Source organism: Homo sapiens, chromosome 2 (genome assembly GCF_000001405.40).
Source record: "Homo sapiens chromosome 2, GRCh38.p14 Primary Assembly".
Classification (NCBI taxonomy): Eukaryota; Metazoa; Chordata; class Mammalia; order Primates; family Hominidae; genus Homo; species Homo sapiens.
Genome location: NC_000002.12, coordinates 69,409,753 through 69,425,310, shown reverse-complemented (window position 1 = coordinate 69,425,310; position 15,558 = coordinate 69,409,753). Strand labels below are relative to the sequence as shown.

Here is a 15,558-nt window from a genome sequence, read left to right as displayed (position 1 = left end):
CTTACACCTGTAATCCCAGCACTTTACTTTGGGAGGCCAAGGTGGAAGGCTCACTTGAGGCCAGGTGTTTGAGACCAGCTTGAGCAACATTGGGAGATTCCACCTCCACAGATTTTTTTTAAAAAAAGCCTTTGGCTGGGCGCGGTGGCTCACACCTGTAATCCCAGCACTTTGTGAGGCCGAGGCGGGCAGATCATGAGGTCAGGAGATCAAAACCATCCTGGGTAACACAGTGAAACCCCGTCTCTACTAAAAATACAGAAAAAATTAGCCGGGCATGGCAGCGGGTGCCTGTAGTCCTAGCTACTCGGGAGGCTGAGGCAGGAGAATGGCATGAACCTGGGAGGTGGAGCTTGTAGTGAGCAGAGATGGCGCCACTGCACTCCAGCCTGGGCGACAGAGGGAGACTCCGCCTCAAAAAAAAAAAAAAAAGCGTTTGACCCTGTATTTGGCATATAATAAGCACACAATAACTTTATTATTACTATTATAAATTGCTAACTTTGTCTTTAAAATAATGGTGGCACTTTAGAAAGAAGAGAATGTAGCATTTTAGTGTATTAATGTCAGCAATAAGTGATCTGTGATTATGATAGCCATTGGTACAAAGTCACCAAATAGACTATATATAGGACTCCTGAATTATGAATATGTATAAGACTTAAGTGTTTACTATTTCTGGAATCTGTTTCATAACACAACTATTTAAATAATCAGTGTATTGGCTGGGCACAGTGCTCACACTCTAATCCCAACAGTTTGGAAGGCTGAGGTGGGAGGATCATTTGAGTCCAGGAATTTGGGACCAGTCTGGGCAATAGCGTGAGACCCTGTCTCTGCAAAAAAATACAAATATTAACTAGGTCTGATGGTGCACGCCTGTAGTCCCAGATACTTTTGAGGCTTAAATAGGAGGATTGCCTGAGCCCTGGAATTTGAGGTCGTAGTGAACCGTGATTGTGCCACTGCACTCCAGCCTGGGCAACAGAGCAAGACCTTGTCTCAAAAAAAACAAAAACAAAAACAAAAAACCCAAAAACCAATAAACCAGAGTGTTAGTAGAAAACTATATGCACTTAAATATATTGAGATATATATATATATATATATATTTTTTTTTTTTTTTTTTTTTTTTTTTTTGAGACAGAGTCTCACTTTGTCACCAGGCTGGAGTGCAGTGGTGCAATCTCGGCTCACTGCAACCTCCGCCTCGCAGGTTCAAGCAATTCTCTGCCTCAGTCACCCAAGTAGCTGGGATTACAGGCACCCGCCACCACGCCTGGCTAATTTTTGTATTTTTAGTAGAGACGAGGCTTCACCATCTTGGCCAGGCTGGTCTTGAACTCCTGACCTCGTAATCCACCCGCCTCGGCCTCCCTAAGTGCTGGGATTACAGGTGTGAGCCACTGCGCCCGGCTCTATGGTGATATATTTCTTTCTTATCCTTATAAATGCTTTGTCAGGGCAATAAAGCCTTGGGTTTTTCCCCAGTTTTTCTTACTTCTTCTGATTCTCTGCAAATGAGCACTTCATAGTCCATAAACTTGTTAACTGTTTTTTCTAGAATAACATTTTCTTCTTTTTCTTTTTTAGTGAGATACATGTTTATTCAAACACAAGATACCCCAAATCCAAACAGCTTAAAGTTTATACCAGGAAAACCAGTTCTTGAGACAAGGACCATGGATTTTCCCACCCCAGCTGCAGCATTTCGCTCCCCTCTGGCTAGGTATATTACTGTTTTCATTTGCTTTTACCAAGAAACATAAATAACTAACTGACTTTGGGGTTAAGACAACTCTGTTTAACTATTGCATTTCTATGTGCACTGCATTTTTTTTTAAGTGTAGAAAATAATTTCTTTTCAGATGAGAGATTAAAAAAAAAATAAGGCCTGTTGCAGTGCCTCACACCTGTAATCCTAACACTTTGGAAGGCTGAAGTGGGAGGATTGCTTGAGTCCAGGAGTTTGAGACCAGCCTGGGCAACATAGAGAGACTCCATCTCTACCACACACACATACACACACACACACACACACACACACACACACACACACACACACACTCACACAGAGAGCCCATCTCTACCCGCCCCCCCCCACACACACACACAGCCCATCTCACCACACACACACACACATACACACACACACACACACACAAATTTAGCTGAGTGTGATGGTGTGTACCTCTGGTCTCAGCTACTCAGAAGGCTGAGATGGGAAGATCGCTTGAGCCTGGGAGGTTGAGGCTGCAGTGAGCCATGATGGTGCCACTGCACTCCAGCCTGGGCAACAGAGTGAGACCCTGTCTCAAAAAAACCCAAAAATGTTGAGGAGGCTGAGGAGGTGGGGATCACTTGAGCTCAGGAGTTGGAGACCAGCCTGGGCAACATGGTGAAACCCTGTCTACAAAAAATACAAAAATTAGCCAAGTGTGGTGGTATGTGTCTGTATTCCCAGCTACTAGGGAGGCTGAGGTGGGAGGATCACTTAAACCCAGGAGGTTAAGGAAACTATGAGCTGTGATGCCATGATTGTGCCATTGCATTCCAGCCTAGGCGAGCGAGTGAGACCCTGCCTCAAAAAAGAAAAGAAAAATGAGAGTTGATATTAAAAAAATTTTCTCCTGTGATATATTTGAGAGATCTATAGCATGAATAAATAAAAACTTATATTTTTACTTAAGAAAAAATATTCATCAAATTGATAAATATGGTAAATTTCCATTTCAGATCTTAAAAAATCTGATTTTTAAGAATAATGAGAACTTGCTTATTTTATTCATAAGGGTAGTTGAATCTGTAGTTCTTTCAAGATGGAATAATTTCTAAAATACTCTATTCAGAACTATAAATGAAAACTAGTCAGTGGGGACAGTTTTAAAATTCACCAGATAAAGGCATGTTTAAACCAGTAGTCCCCCCTTATCTGTGGTTTCACTTTCCCTGGTTTCAGTTACCCAAGATCAGCCATAGTCTAAAAATATTAAATGGAAAATTCCAGAAATAAACAATTCATCAGTTTTAAATTGTGCTGCTTTTCTGAGTAGCATGGTGAAATCTTGCTCTGTCCTCCCCAGGGCATAAATTATCCCTTTTCTAGTGTATCCATGTCATATACCCTGTCTGCCTGTGCCCTCCCCTCTGCTGAACCCCCCACCACCCTCGCTGCATCATTGATCACTTAGAAGCCATCTCTTAAAGTAGTGATGCTGGCATATTGCTGGCATATTGTTATAATTGTTCTATTTTATTATCAGTTGTTAATCTCTTACTGTGCCTAATTTATAAATTAAACTTTATCATAGGTATATATGTATAGGAAAAAAACATAATACTTGCAGGGTTCAATACTATGTGTAGTTTCAGGGATCCACTGGGGGCATTGGAATGGATCCCCTGAGGATAAGGGGGGACTACTGTATGTTAGAGATGATAAAGAACAGGGCCAGGTGCGGTGGCTCATCCCTGTAATCCCAGCACTTTGGGAGGCCGAGGCGGGCGGATCATGTCAGGAGATCGAGAGCATCCTGGCTAACAGTGAAACCCCATCTCTACTAAAAATACAAAAAATTAGCCGGATGTGGTGGCGGGCGCCTGTAGTCCTAGCCACTCGGGAGGCTGAGGCAGGAGAATGGCATGAACCCGGGAGGCAGAGCTTGCAGTGAGCCGAGATAGCGCCACTGCATTCCAGCCTGGGCGACAGAGCGAGACTGTCTCAAAAAAAAAAAAAAAAAAAAAAAAAGCACAAATGATAAAATTGTTGGGATGAACCTCTTTTTAACTGATAGAGAAGTTAATAATAAAGAATATTAGTCAGTAGAGTCAGTCAGCATCAGTTGAAATTTTGGGGAACCGAAGCCTCAATCTGATTGCCAGGGATACTCGGAAAACAGAGCTCAGGTAACTATTTCTATACGTACAGCCATTTTATATGTCTCGTTTAAGGAACCTAGGGATTTGCTAAGCTCTGGAATCGTTTTTAAAATTTATAATTAATAGGTACTTTTTTTTTCTTAAACATATCACTTCTCAGAATATACCTTAGAGTGTTTGTTTTTCATATTTTATTTTTAACTTTTTATTTATTTTTTGAGATAAGGTTTCACTTTTGTTGCCCAGGCTGGAGTGTCTGGAGTGTGATGGCGTGATCTTGGCTCACTGCAACCTCCACCTCCTGGGTTCAAGCTATTCTCCTGCCTTAGCCTCCCTAGTAATTGGGACTATAGGCACATGCCACCTCACCTGGCTAAATTCGGTATTTTTTGTAGAGACTAGGTCTCATCATGTTGCCCAGGCTGGTCTCAGACTCCTGAGCTCAAGTGTTCTGTCCTTCTCGGCTTCCAAAGTACTGGGATTACAGGCTGTTTTTCGTACTTTTTTGATATAAGTCACAGTAAAAAGTGTTTTACATTATGTGTGTGTATGCGTGAGATACAAATGTTTGATGGGATAGTTTTCACTATTTTTTCACCCTTACAATAGATAATAGATTCTTAAATTTCCTTTCTTCATCTCTTTTTGTTGTTCTGTTTTATTTTATTACATAAAACCCTGTCACTACATACATGATTCCACAACTCACTACTGGGTTTTAAAAACCCTACCCTAGAAGTTACTTGCACATGTGCCCAAGATACGTGCAGGGATGTATTTACTGTCATAGACATCTGAGACATACAAGTGAAGAAAGCAACTTGCAGAACAGTGAGTCCAATATGATACTATGTATATAAAAGCAAAAACCACAGAACAACAAATGCACTGACAAAAAGATCTGGAAGAATACACACGAAACTGATAACAGGATTTGGTAGGGGTAGTCAAGGGGCATTTAAATTTTATTGTTTGAAACATTTACATCAAGAATGAGTTCATATTTTGTATTAAAAAAGTAAAAGTAAAAAAGCCCCAATTAATTCAGTTATAGATTAGTTAGAGATTATTTCTGTCAGATGTTCAGTTGGCAAAATCTCTTTTCAAGTTAGTCTTTTGAAAATAGTCTGTTTAGGCTGGGTGTGGTGGCTCATGCCTGTAATCCCAGCACTTTGGGAGGTGGGTGGATCACCTGAGGTCAGGAGTTGAGACCAGCCTGGGCAACATGGTGAAACCCCATCTCTACTAAAATACAAAAATTAGCTGGGCGTGGTGGTGGGCGCCTGTAATCCCAGCTACTTGGGAGGCTGAGGCAGGAAAATTGCTTGAACCCAGGAGGCGGAGGTTGCAATGAGCCAAGATCTCACCACTGCACTCCAGCCTGGGGGACAGAGGGTGACTCCGTCTCAAAAGAGAAAAAAAAAAAAATAGTCTGTTTAGTGCTCAGTACAGTGCCTGGCACTTAGTAGGTGTCAAATATTGGTTGAATGAATGATTGATAGTATAGATATAGCAGTCTATTCATTCACCAGGTGATGGACATTTCCATATTTTTCTGTATGTGTGGCTATTTTAAATGAAGCTGCTATGAAGATTTATGTACAAGTCTTTGTGGAGCACGAGTTTTTATTTCTTTTGGGTAAATAACTAGGAGTGGGATTGCTAAATCGTAGAGTAGGAATATAAAACAAAATTGGCCATGAGTTGATCATTGTTAAAGCTGCAAAGGATATGTGGAGAATTTTTTACTTTTCTCTACTTTTGTGTATGTTTAAACTTTTCCATAATCAAGCATTTTAATATCTCTTATTTTTTCTTTTTTTGCAGGCAGTTATTTAGGATTGAAGGAGTAAAAAGTGTCTTCTTTGGACCAGATTTCATCACTGTCACAAAGGTAAACATAGGATTATATAAAATAAGACTTGAAATACTCTTCATTTTTTTCTGAGTCCAATGCCTCTCTCTCCAACATTTCCATTCTTTCTGTTCTTTAATTTTTATATTTTATTTTTGAGACAGGGTCTTACTCTCTTGTCCTCTAAATGTCACAAGAATCAAGCGAAATATGCTATGTTTTTCTTTTTCTTTTCTTTTTCTTTTTTTTGAGATGAAGTCTTGCTCTTGTCCCCCAGGCTGGAGTGTGATGGTGCGATCTTGGCTCACTGCCACCTCTGCCTCCCAGGTCCAAGTGATTCTCCTGCCTCGGCGCCCCCCCCCGCCACCCTGAGTAGCTGGGATTGCAGGCGCCTGCCACCATGCCCAGCTAATTTTTATATTTTTAGTAGAGACAGGGTTTCGCCATGTTGGCCAGGCTGGTCTAGAACTCCCGACCTCAGGTGATCCACCCGCCTCGGCCTCCAAATTGCTGGGATTACAGGCGTGAGCCACCACGCCTATAAAAAATATGCTATGTTTTTCAACAGTCAAGGCAGTATCTGCTAGAAAGGGCTGTTCCATTTTTGATGTCTACTAGATTAATGGGACATGAACTATTTAAATTTGAACTATGTATCCTTTTAAATCTGTTAATTGACATATATCCACGGAACTTAAATCACTTGCCTGATAGTGTGTGAAAATCAAAAATATTTATTAAACTCCCCTTAAGCAAATTGAAAGGATTAGTCTGAGCTCTTTATGTCCTTAAAAGTGGACATACTGGGGGCCGGGTGTGGTGGCTCACGCCTGTAATCCCAGCACTTTGGGAGGCCGAGGTGGGCAGATCATGAGGTCAGGAGATCAAAACCATTCTGGCTAACATGGTGAAACCCCGTCTCTACTAAAAATACAAAAAAAAAGTAGCCGGGCATGGTGGCGGGCGCCTGTAGCCCCAGCTACTCAGGAGGCTGAAGCAGGAGAATGGCGTGAACCCGGGAGGCGGAGCTTGCAGTGAGCGGAGATCGGGCCACTGCACTCCAGCCTGGGCGACAGAGCGAGACTGCATCTCAAAAAAGAAAAAAAGGGGACATACTGGGTTAGTGACATGTTAAATCTAGTCATCTAGTCCAGTATTCTCTTGCGGCTATTTATTTAGAGACAAAGTCTCACTCCACACCCAGGTCAGAGTGCAGTGGCATGATCTCAGCTCACTGCAGCCTAAGCCTCTTGAGCTTAAGCAGTCATCTCACCTCAGCCTCCCTAGTAGCTGGGACTATACGTGCATACCACCATGTCCAACTAATTTTTGTATTTTTTGTAGAGATAGGGTTTCGCCATGTTTTCCAGGCTGGTCTCAAATTTCTGAGCTCAAACAATCTGCTCACCTCGGCCTCCCAAAGTGCTGGGATTACCGGTGTGAACCACCACGTCCAGCCCCCCATTCTTCAGTTTTCTTTCTTCCATATTTTTTAAGGAGAAGAAGGGATGAACATTTATTTAATATATTCAATGTCGGATATGGCCCTAGTGCTTTACATATGTTATCTAATTCTTACAACTAGTTATTTTATAAGTGGGAAATTATATATTTATTTTTTAAAGTTATTTAGTTCTTTTACGTATAGCCTATGCTATATAAAAATTTTTATAGGTAAAAATGTGATTATATCTTAAAGGGTTTTGGTTTTTTTTTTTTTCCTATTTTTCTTGATTAGATTTAGTAAGTCATCTTTTAGCTCTCTTACTTTCATTATTTAGTTACCCTATTTGAAATTGCCCTAGCTCTACAATTTTTTCTTAAGTGAAATGACATAACCAATAGATAATATCCCAAGTTAGGGTATATGTTGATACACATATATGTATGTGTGTGTGTATATCTATCTATCTACACATACATATAGATGGGATCTTGCTCTGTTTCCCCAGGCTGGAATACAGTAGTGCGATCATGGGTCACTGCAACCACTAACTCCCAGGCTCAAGCGATCCTGCTGTCTCAGCTTCCCGAGTAGCTGGGACTACAGGTGCATGCCACTATGCCCAGCTAATTTTTTTTTTATTTTTTTTTATTGTAGAGACAGTGTCCTTCTATGTTGCCCAGGCTGGTCTCAAACTCCTGGGCTCATGCAATCCTTCTGTCTCGGCCTCCCAAAATGTTGGGATTACAGGTGTGAGCCACCACGCCTGGCCCACGTTGGTATTTAATAGACGGAATACTGGATTTATTTTGTTTTCTTCCAGTAATGTTTCTCATCATGGACTATCACATTTTACTGAATGTCTTCAGCAATCGCCTGTTTCTATTTCTGATTTCCAGTTGATAATTAGACTTCTTTATGCATCATTTGTGTTATTTTTTTCTAAATATATATGTATATTTGCAGCTTATATGCTGCCCTTTTTTTCTCATTCAGACAACTTTAGAATATTTTTTCTTTTTATTACCAATATTTTCCTATTTAGTAGAGCCTGCTATTTACTGAAGATCTGAGGTAACACTCTGATTTGTTTTCCAAATAATTTATTACCTACAACTAGTTTCCATTCCCAATCACTAAGATATTTCACTAGTTTTACTTTTATAACCTTAGCAGTCCCCATTTATCTCACCTTTTATGTACTATCTCTATATTGTTTCCTTTTTTTGTTTTTTGAGATGGAGTCTCACTCCGTCGCCCAGGCTGGAGGGCAGTGGCACGATCTCGGCTCACTGCAACCTCCGCCTCCCGGGTTCAAGCGATTCTCCTTCCTTGGCCTCCCTAGTAGCTGGGATTACAGGCCTCTGCAACCACGCCGGCTAATTTTTGTATTATTAGTAGAGAAAGGTTTTCACCATGTTGGCCAGGCTGGTCTCAAACTCCTGACCTCAGGTGATCCACCCGCCTCGGCCTCCCCAAAGTGCTGGGATTACAGGCATGAGCCACCATGCCCAGCCAAATTTCTTTCATACCCTTTAAGTAATATATATAAGTAAATTTTTTGAATAGTTGTAGGCTGTTCCGTATACTTGATCAAGCAATTACATCCTATGTTTTTTTTAAGAGAATGGGAATCTCTTTATCATCTTCTTTAAAGACAGAAAATCCATTTAATATTTTGTCTTCACATCATGAAAAACATCTTTTAATCATTTAAATCAAATTAAAACAATGAAAGTGAATGAATTAATAATAATATTATTACTAATATATTAATAATTATATTTAAATTAATTAAATATTAATTTTTATTAATTATAAATTATAATTATATTATTAATAATAATAAGTGAATGAATTAATGAATGGGGGATCTTTAAGATTTTATCTTCTGAAATTCGTTTAAACAGGACCCTTTAAGATGTGGAGCTAATATATATTCTCCAGAAGTGGTTGCCATTGCATAGGTATAGTGTGTATATAGGAAAAGATATTTTTTCTTTTCCTTTCCTTTCCTCTTTTCTTTTCTTTTTATCTCTTTTCTTTTCCTTTCCCTTTTACCTTCCTCTCTTCGCCTGCCTGCTTGCCTTCCTTCCTCCTTTCCTTTTTTCTGCTGCTTTTTTCTCTTTTTTCTTTCTTCCTTTCCCTTTATTATTTTTAAAAATATAAAAAGAGACGAAGTCTCGCTATGTTGCCCAGGCTAGTCTTAAACTCCTGGACTCAAGCAATCCTCTTGCCTCAGCTTCCCAAAATGTTGGGATTAGGCATGAACTACCACACCTGACCAGGAAAAGCTTCTTAAGAGGTGTAAGGGGGCCAGGCGCTGTGGCTCACGCCTGTAATCCCTGCACTTTGGGAGGCCGGGGTGGGTGGATCACGAGGTCAGGCTTCGACCTCTCAAAATGCTGGGATTACAGGCATGAACCACCGTGCCCAACCTTAAATATCTTGTGTTATACTGCAAATTGCCTTTTTTACTAAGTATAATAATTTTGAAATATATCCATTTCAAAAAACATAGTTCTAGTTTACTCATTTTACGTGCTGGAGAGTATTTCATTATAGGAATAAGATATAGTTAATTTGTTCCTTTATGTTCAAGGCACACACCTGTAGTCCCAGCTACTTGGGAGGCTGAGGCAGGAGAATCGCTTGAACCCAGGAGGCGGAGGTTGCAGTGAGCCAAGATCACACCACTGTACTCCATCCAGCCTGGGCAACAGAGTGAGACTCCATCTCAAAAAAAAAAAAGAAAAAAGAGGTATAAGGTAGTGTTCTGTATGGGTCTTTGCCGTTGCCTGGAAATACAGCATTTTCCTTTAAATGTTTATAGGAAAATGAAGAATTAGACTGGAATTTACTGAAACCAGATATTTATGCAACAATCATGGACTTCTTTGCATCTGGCTTACCCCTGGTTACTGAGGAAACACCTTCAGGAGAAGCAGGTAACATGTTGTATTGAGTAATTAAAATTTGTCCTTTTTTTAGACTTTTCTATTTTCTTCACATTTACCTTGATTTCAGAAGTCATAGGAATCTAGATTTCTATCATTTAATATATTTAGCTCTGCAAATTTATATATCATTTTGAAAGCTTGTGTATAAATTGGCATTACTCTATAAAACAAAAATTTTCAATTATAAAAATTTTCAAACATGCAGAAAATATCATGCTCACCAATTTGCCCTCCACTCATATCTAACAAATGTTAATTAAGTTACAGAATGGGCTTTTGGGAAAAACAAAACAAATGTTATCTTTTGCCACAGTTGCTTTAGACTCATTTTAAATAAAATATTAAACATACAGTGTCAGAATATAGAGCATAAAGTAAAAAAAAGAAACCGCTAAAACCACTGTACCCCCATCCCTTTTCCCTTCCTAGTTCCAGAGATGTGTGAAAACTTGTTTTGTTTTATACTATACATGTAAGTCTCTGCAGGGAATATATAAGACTAGTTTTTGTTTTTAAGTTTTAAATCTCTGTTTTTTTTTTTTTTTTTTTTTTTTAGAGACAGACTCTCACTCTGTCACCCCAGTTGGAGTGCAGTGACGCAATGTTGGCTCACTGCAACCCCCACCTCCCAGGTTCAAGTGTTTCTCATGCCTCAGCCTCCCAAGTAGCTGGGATTACAGGTGTGCACCACCACACCCAGCTAATTTTTGTATTTTTAGTAGAGATGGGGTTTCATCATGTTTGTCAGGCTGGTCTTGAATTCCTGACCTCAAGTGATCACCTGGCTTCAACCTCTCAAAATGCTGGGATTACAGGCATGAACCACCGTGCCTAACCTTAAATATCTTGTATTATACTGCAAATTGTCTTTTTTACTAAGTGTAATATTTTTGAAACATATCCATTTCAAAAAACATAGTTCTAGTTTACTCATTTTATGTGCTGGATAGCATTTCATTATAGGAATAAGATATAGTTAATTTGTTCCTTTATGTTCAAGTAAAGTTTTTGTACTAATTTTTATTGAAAACATTGCTGTAGTGAGCATCCTTATACAAGTCTGTTTATGAATATGTGGAGAGCTTCTTTATTTATTTGTTTATTTATTTTTATTTATTTATTTTTGGAGACAGAGTCTTGCTCTGTTGCCCAGGCTGGAGTGCAGTGGCGTGATCTCGGCTCACTGCAGCCTCTGCCTCCTGGGTTCCAGTGATTCTCCTGCCTCAGCCTTCCAAGTAGCTGGTATTACAGGCGCCCACCACCATGCCTGGGTAATTTTTGTATTTTTAGTAGAGACAGAGTTTAACCATGTTGGCCAGGCTGGTCTTGAACTCCAGACCTCATGATTCGCCTGCCTCGGCCTCCCAAAGTGCTGGGATTACAGGCATGAGCCATCGTGCCCGGCCTTATTTTTGAGACAGAGTCTTGCTCTGTCATCCAGGCTGGAGTGCAGTGGCATGATCTCAGTTCACTGCAGCCTCTGCTTCCCAGGTTCAAGCGATCCTTCTACCTCAGCCTCCCGAGTGGCTGGGATTACAGGCATGCACCACCACGCCCAGCTAGTTTTTGTATTTTTAGTAGAGGGGGTTTTGCCATGTTGGCCGGGCTGATCCCGAACTCCTGACCTCAAGTGGATTCACCTGCCTTGGCCTTCCAAAGTTGGGATTACAGGCGTGAGCCACCCTGCCTGGCCGAGAGCTTCTTTAGATTATGTTCCTAAAAGTGGAATTGCTATATCATAAGTTGATCTAATTAAGCCCACATTAGCCGTATATTTTAAGAATTTCAATGTTCTTATATCTTTGTCATCATTTAGTGTCTTTTTTTTTTTTTTACCCGTATGTTGGGTATACAATGGTACCTTGTTTTTTTTTCTTTTTTTTTTTTGAAACGGAGTTTCGCTCTTGTTGCCCAGGCTGGAGTGCAATGGCGCGATCTCAGCTCACCACAACCTCCACCTCCTGGGTTCAAGCGATTCTCCTGCCTCAGCCTCCTGAATAGCTGGGATTACAGGTGCCTGCCACCATGCCCAACTAATTTTTCTATTTTTAGTAGAGACGGGGTTTCACCATGTTGGCTGGTCTGGTCTTGAACTCCTGATCCATCTGCCTCAGCCTCCCAAAGTGCTGGGATTACAGGCATGAGCCACTGAGCCTGGCCGGTATCTTGTTTTAATTGCATTTCCTTGATTAATACTGAGTGTTAAGAGTTTCATATGTTTATTGGCCATTTACTTTTCTTGTCAGTGAATTTTCTATTTATATCTTTTCTACTTAAAAACAAATTGAGTCATGTGTCTTTTTTTTTTTTTTTTTGAGACAGTGACCTGCTCTGTCACCCAAACTGGAGTGCAGTGGCATGATCATGGCTCACTACATCCTCAGCTTCCCAGGCTTAAGCAATCCTCCTGCCTCTGTCTCCCAAGTAGCTGGGATTATAGGCTCCTGCCACCATGCCTGGTTAATGTTTTTATTTTTAAAATTTTTTTGGCTGGGCGTGGTGGCTCACGCCTGTAATCCCAGGAATTTGGGAGGCCGAGGCGGGTGGATCACGAGGTCAGGAGTTCGAGACCAGCCTGACCAACATGGTGAAACCCCATCTCTACTAAAAATACAAAAATTAGCTGGGTGTGGTGGCGCGTGCCTGTAATCCCAGCTACTCGGGAGGCTGGGGCAGAAGAATTGCTTGAATCTGGGAGGCGGAGGTTGCAGTGAGCTGAGATCATGCCACTGCACTCCAGCCTGGGAGACAGGGCGAGACTCCATCTCAAAAAAATAAATAAATGAAAATTTTAAAAAATAAATAAATAAAATTTTTTTGTAGAGGCCTGGCACAGTGGCTCACACCTGTAATCCCAGCATTTTGGGAGGCTGAGGTGGGCAGATCACGAGGTTAAGAGATCGAGACCATCCTAGCCAACATGGTAAAACCCCATCTCTGCTAAAAATACAGAAATCAGCTGGGCATGGTGGCACGTGCCTGTAGTCCCAGCTACTTGGGAGGCTGAGGCAGGAGAATTGCTTGAACTTGGGAGGCAGAGGTTGCAGTGAGCTGACATCATGCCATTGCACTCCAGCCTAGTGACAGAGCGAGACTCCGTCCCCCCGCCAAAAAATTTTTTTTTGTGGAGATGAGATCTTGTTAGGTTGCCCAGGCTGGTCTTCAAGTGATCCTCCTGCCTCAGCATCGCAAAGTACTGAGATTATAAGCATGAACCACCGCCACCTGGCCCATATGTCTTTTTTATATTTATTTAAACAGGTTTTTAAAAAATATTCTGGGCTGGACACCACGCCCCACACCTGTGATCCCAGCACTTGGGGAGGTGAAGGCAGCAGATTGTGTGAGCTCAGAAACTTGAGACTAGCCTGGGCAATATGGCAAAACCCTGTGTTTACGAAAAAATACAAAAATTAGCTGGGCATGGTGATGCGTGCATGTAGTCCCACCTACTTGACAAGCTGAGGTGGGAGGATCGCTTGAGCCCAGGAGGCTGAGGCTGTAGTGAGCCATGTTCACGCCACCACACTCCATCTTGGGTGATAGAACTAGACCACATCTCTTAAAAAAAAATAAAAAGTCTCATTCTCTCTGTATATATATAAATATTCTGAATATTAATTCTTTGTTAGGTATTTTCTTAGCAAATGATATCTCCCTAACTGTGACTTAACTTTTCATTTTGTTTATGATGTCTTTTGTCATACAGAAAATTTTCATTTTAATGTGGTTACATTAGTTCATCTTTTTCCTTTGTGGTTTATGCCTTTTGTACCTTGTTTTAGTAAGTTATTTAGTGTAAAGCACTTGGAAGAGTGATTGTACATGAAGCTCCATAAGTATTTGCTGATACTGTTGTATTTGTTGTTGATGAAGTTTTTCCTTTCTCCAGTATCACAAAGATACTGTCATATGTGTATGTGTATATGTATTTTTGTTTTTTAAAGTTTTATTTTTTACACTTACATATTTAATCACTGTGGGATTTGTTTTTCTATATAGTTTATAATAATTTTATCTTTTTCTACATAGGTAATCAATTATCCCAGTCTTTCCTCATGAATTTATAATATTATACATGGGTCTTTTTCTAAGATGTTTTTTGTCCCTGTGGTCTTTTTGCCCCCCTTCCTGTTTTAATAACATATGGAGTTTTAATTATAATATCTCTGTAACAATTAGTATAGTATATGATAATATCTGGAAGAAAAAGTTCCTCAATTAAAAAAAACTTTCTGGTAGTCTGCTCACTTTATTCTTCCTTGTAAATTTAATGACCATCTTGTAAAGTCTCTAAAAAACCATGTCAAGAGTTTGGTTGAAGTTGCATTAAATTTACAGATTAAATTTGGGAGAATTAACATTTCTTCAACATTGATATTTTTTCATCCCCAAATTTTCCCATTTATGTGAGACTTCTCTTATGTTCTTTTCTTGGTATGAGCTCATGTTAGTTCTAGGTACTATATAGGTTTTGTTATCATAAAGCGTTCTTCTTTTGTTTAGTAAGCACTTAGACATACTGATTACTGTATTTCAGGCACAATTCTAAGCACTTTACAAGTATAAACTCACTTAATTCTTAAAATAACCTTATCAGATAGGAACTGTTACCACATTTCACACATGAGAAAACTGAGGCACTGAATGGTTGAGTAATTTGCTCAAGGTCACACAGGTAGTAAGTGGCAGAGATAGATAAGAACTTTGGGCAATCTGCCTCCAGCGTTCATGCTCTTAACCACTACACTGTGCTGCCTGTATCTGTTTTTTGGGTTTTTTTTGAGACAGGGTCTTGCTTTGTTGCCCAGGCTGGAGAGCAATGGTGCGATCTCGGCTCACTGCAACCTCCACCTCCCAGGTTCAAGCGATTCTCCTGCCTCAGCCACCTGAGCAGCTGGGATTACAGGCGCCAAACACCATGCCCGACTGATTTTTGTATTTTTAGTAGAGATAGGGTTTCACCATGTTGGCCAGGCTGCTCTAGAACTCCTGACCTCAGGTGATCCGCCCACCTTGGCCTGTCAAAGTGGTGGGATTATGGGCGTGAACCACCTCACTCGACCCTGTATCTGTTTTAAAATAATGTTTTCTAATTTGGGGTGTTGGGTATTGGAATACTGTTGATTTTTGTATATTGATCTTATATCCGTCAAGGTTAGCACTCATTAGTTCTAGTAGTTCATCAATGTTAATAAGCATTGACTACAAAAACCGAACGTTTATATGTGCATATACACATATATACACTGCTATAGTTTGGACACTTGTCCCCTCCAAATATCATGCTGAAATTTGATCCCCAGTGTTGGAGGTGGAGTCTAATGGGAGGTGAGTGGGTCATGGGGATGGATCCCTCAATAGTAGATGAATGCCCTCTCGAAGAGCCGGAGGTATGAGGGGAGGGGAGTGAGTTCTTA

The 15,558-nt window shown here is 40.4% G+C and overlaps 1 protein-coding gene across 7 annotated transcripts in view; it reads left to right on the top strand.

Moving 5' to 3' along the window:
• Nucleotides 1-15,558, top strand: part of NFU1 (NFU1 iron-sulfur cluster scaffold) — a 43,818-nt gene that overhangs the window by 14,257 nt on the left and 14,003 nt on the right. For 4 of the 7 annotated variants that reach the window (XM_047443939.1, NM_015700.4, NM_001374284.1 and 1 more), the window contains 3 exons: nucleotides 1,594-1,729; nucleotides 5,707-5,773; nucleotides 10,012-10,126. In XM_047443939.1, the coding sequence (XP_047299895.1) occupies nucleotides 1,594-1,729; nucleotides 5,707-5,773; nucleotides 10,012-10,126 (318 nt within the window). The remainder of the gene's footprint in view (nucleotides 1-1,593; nucleotides 1,730-5,706; nucleotides 5,774-10,011; nucleotides 10,127-15,558) is intronic. The other 3 variants (NR_045632.2, NR_045631.2, NM_001002756.2) reach the window with 1 other exon arrangement.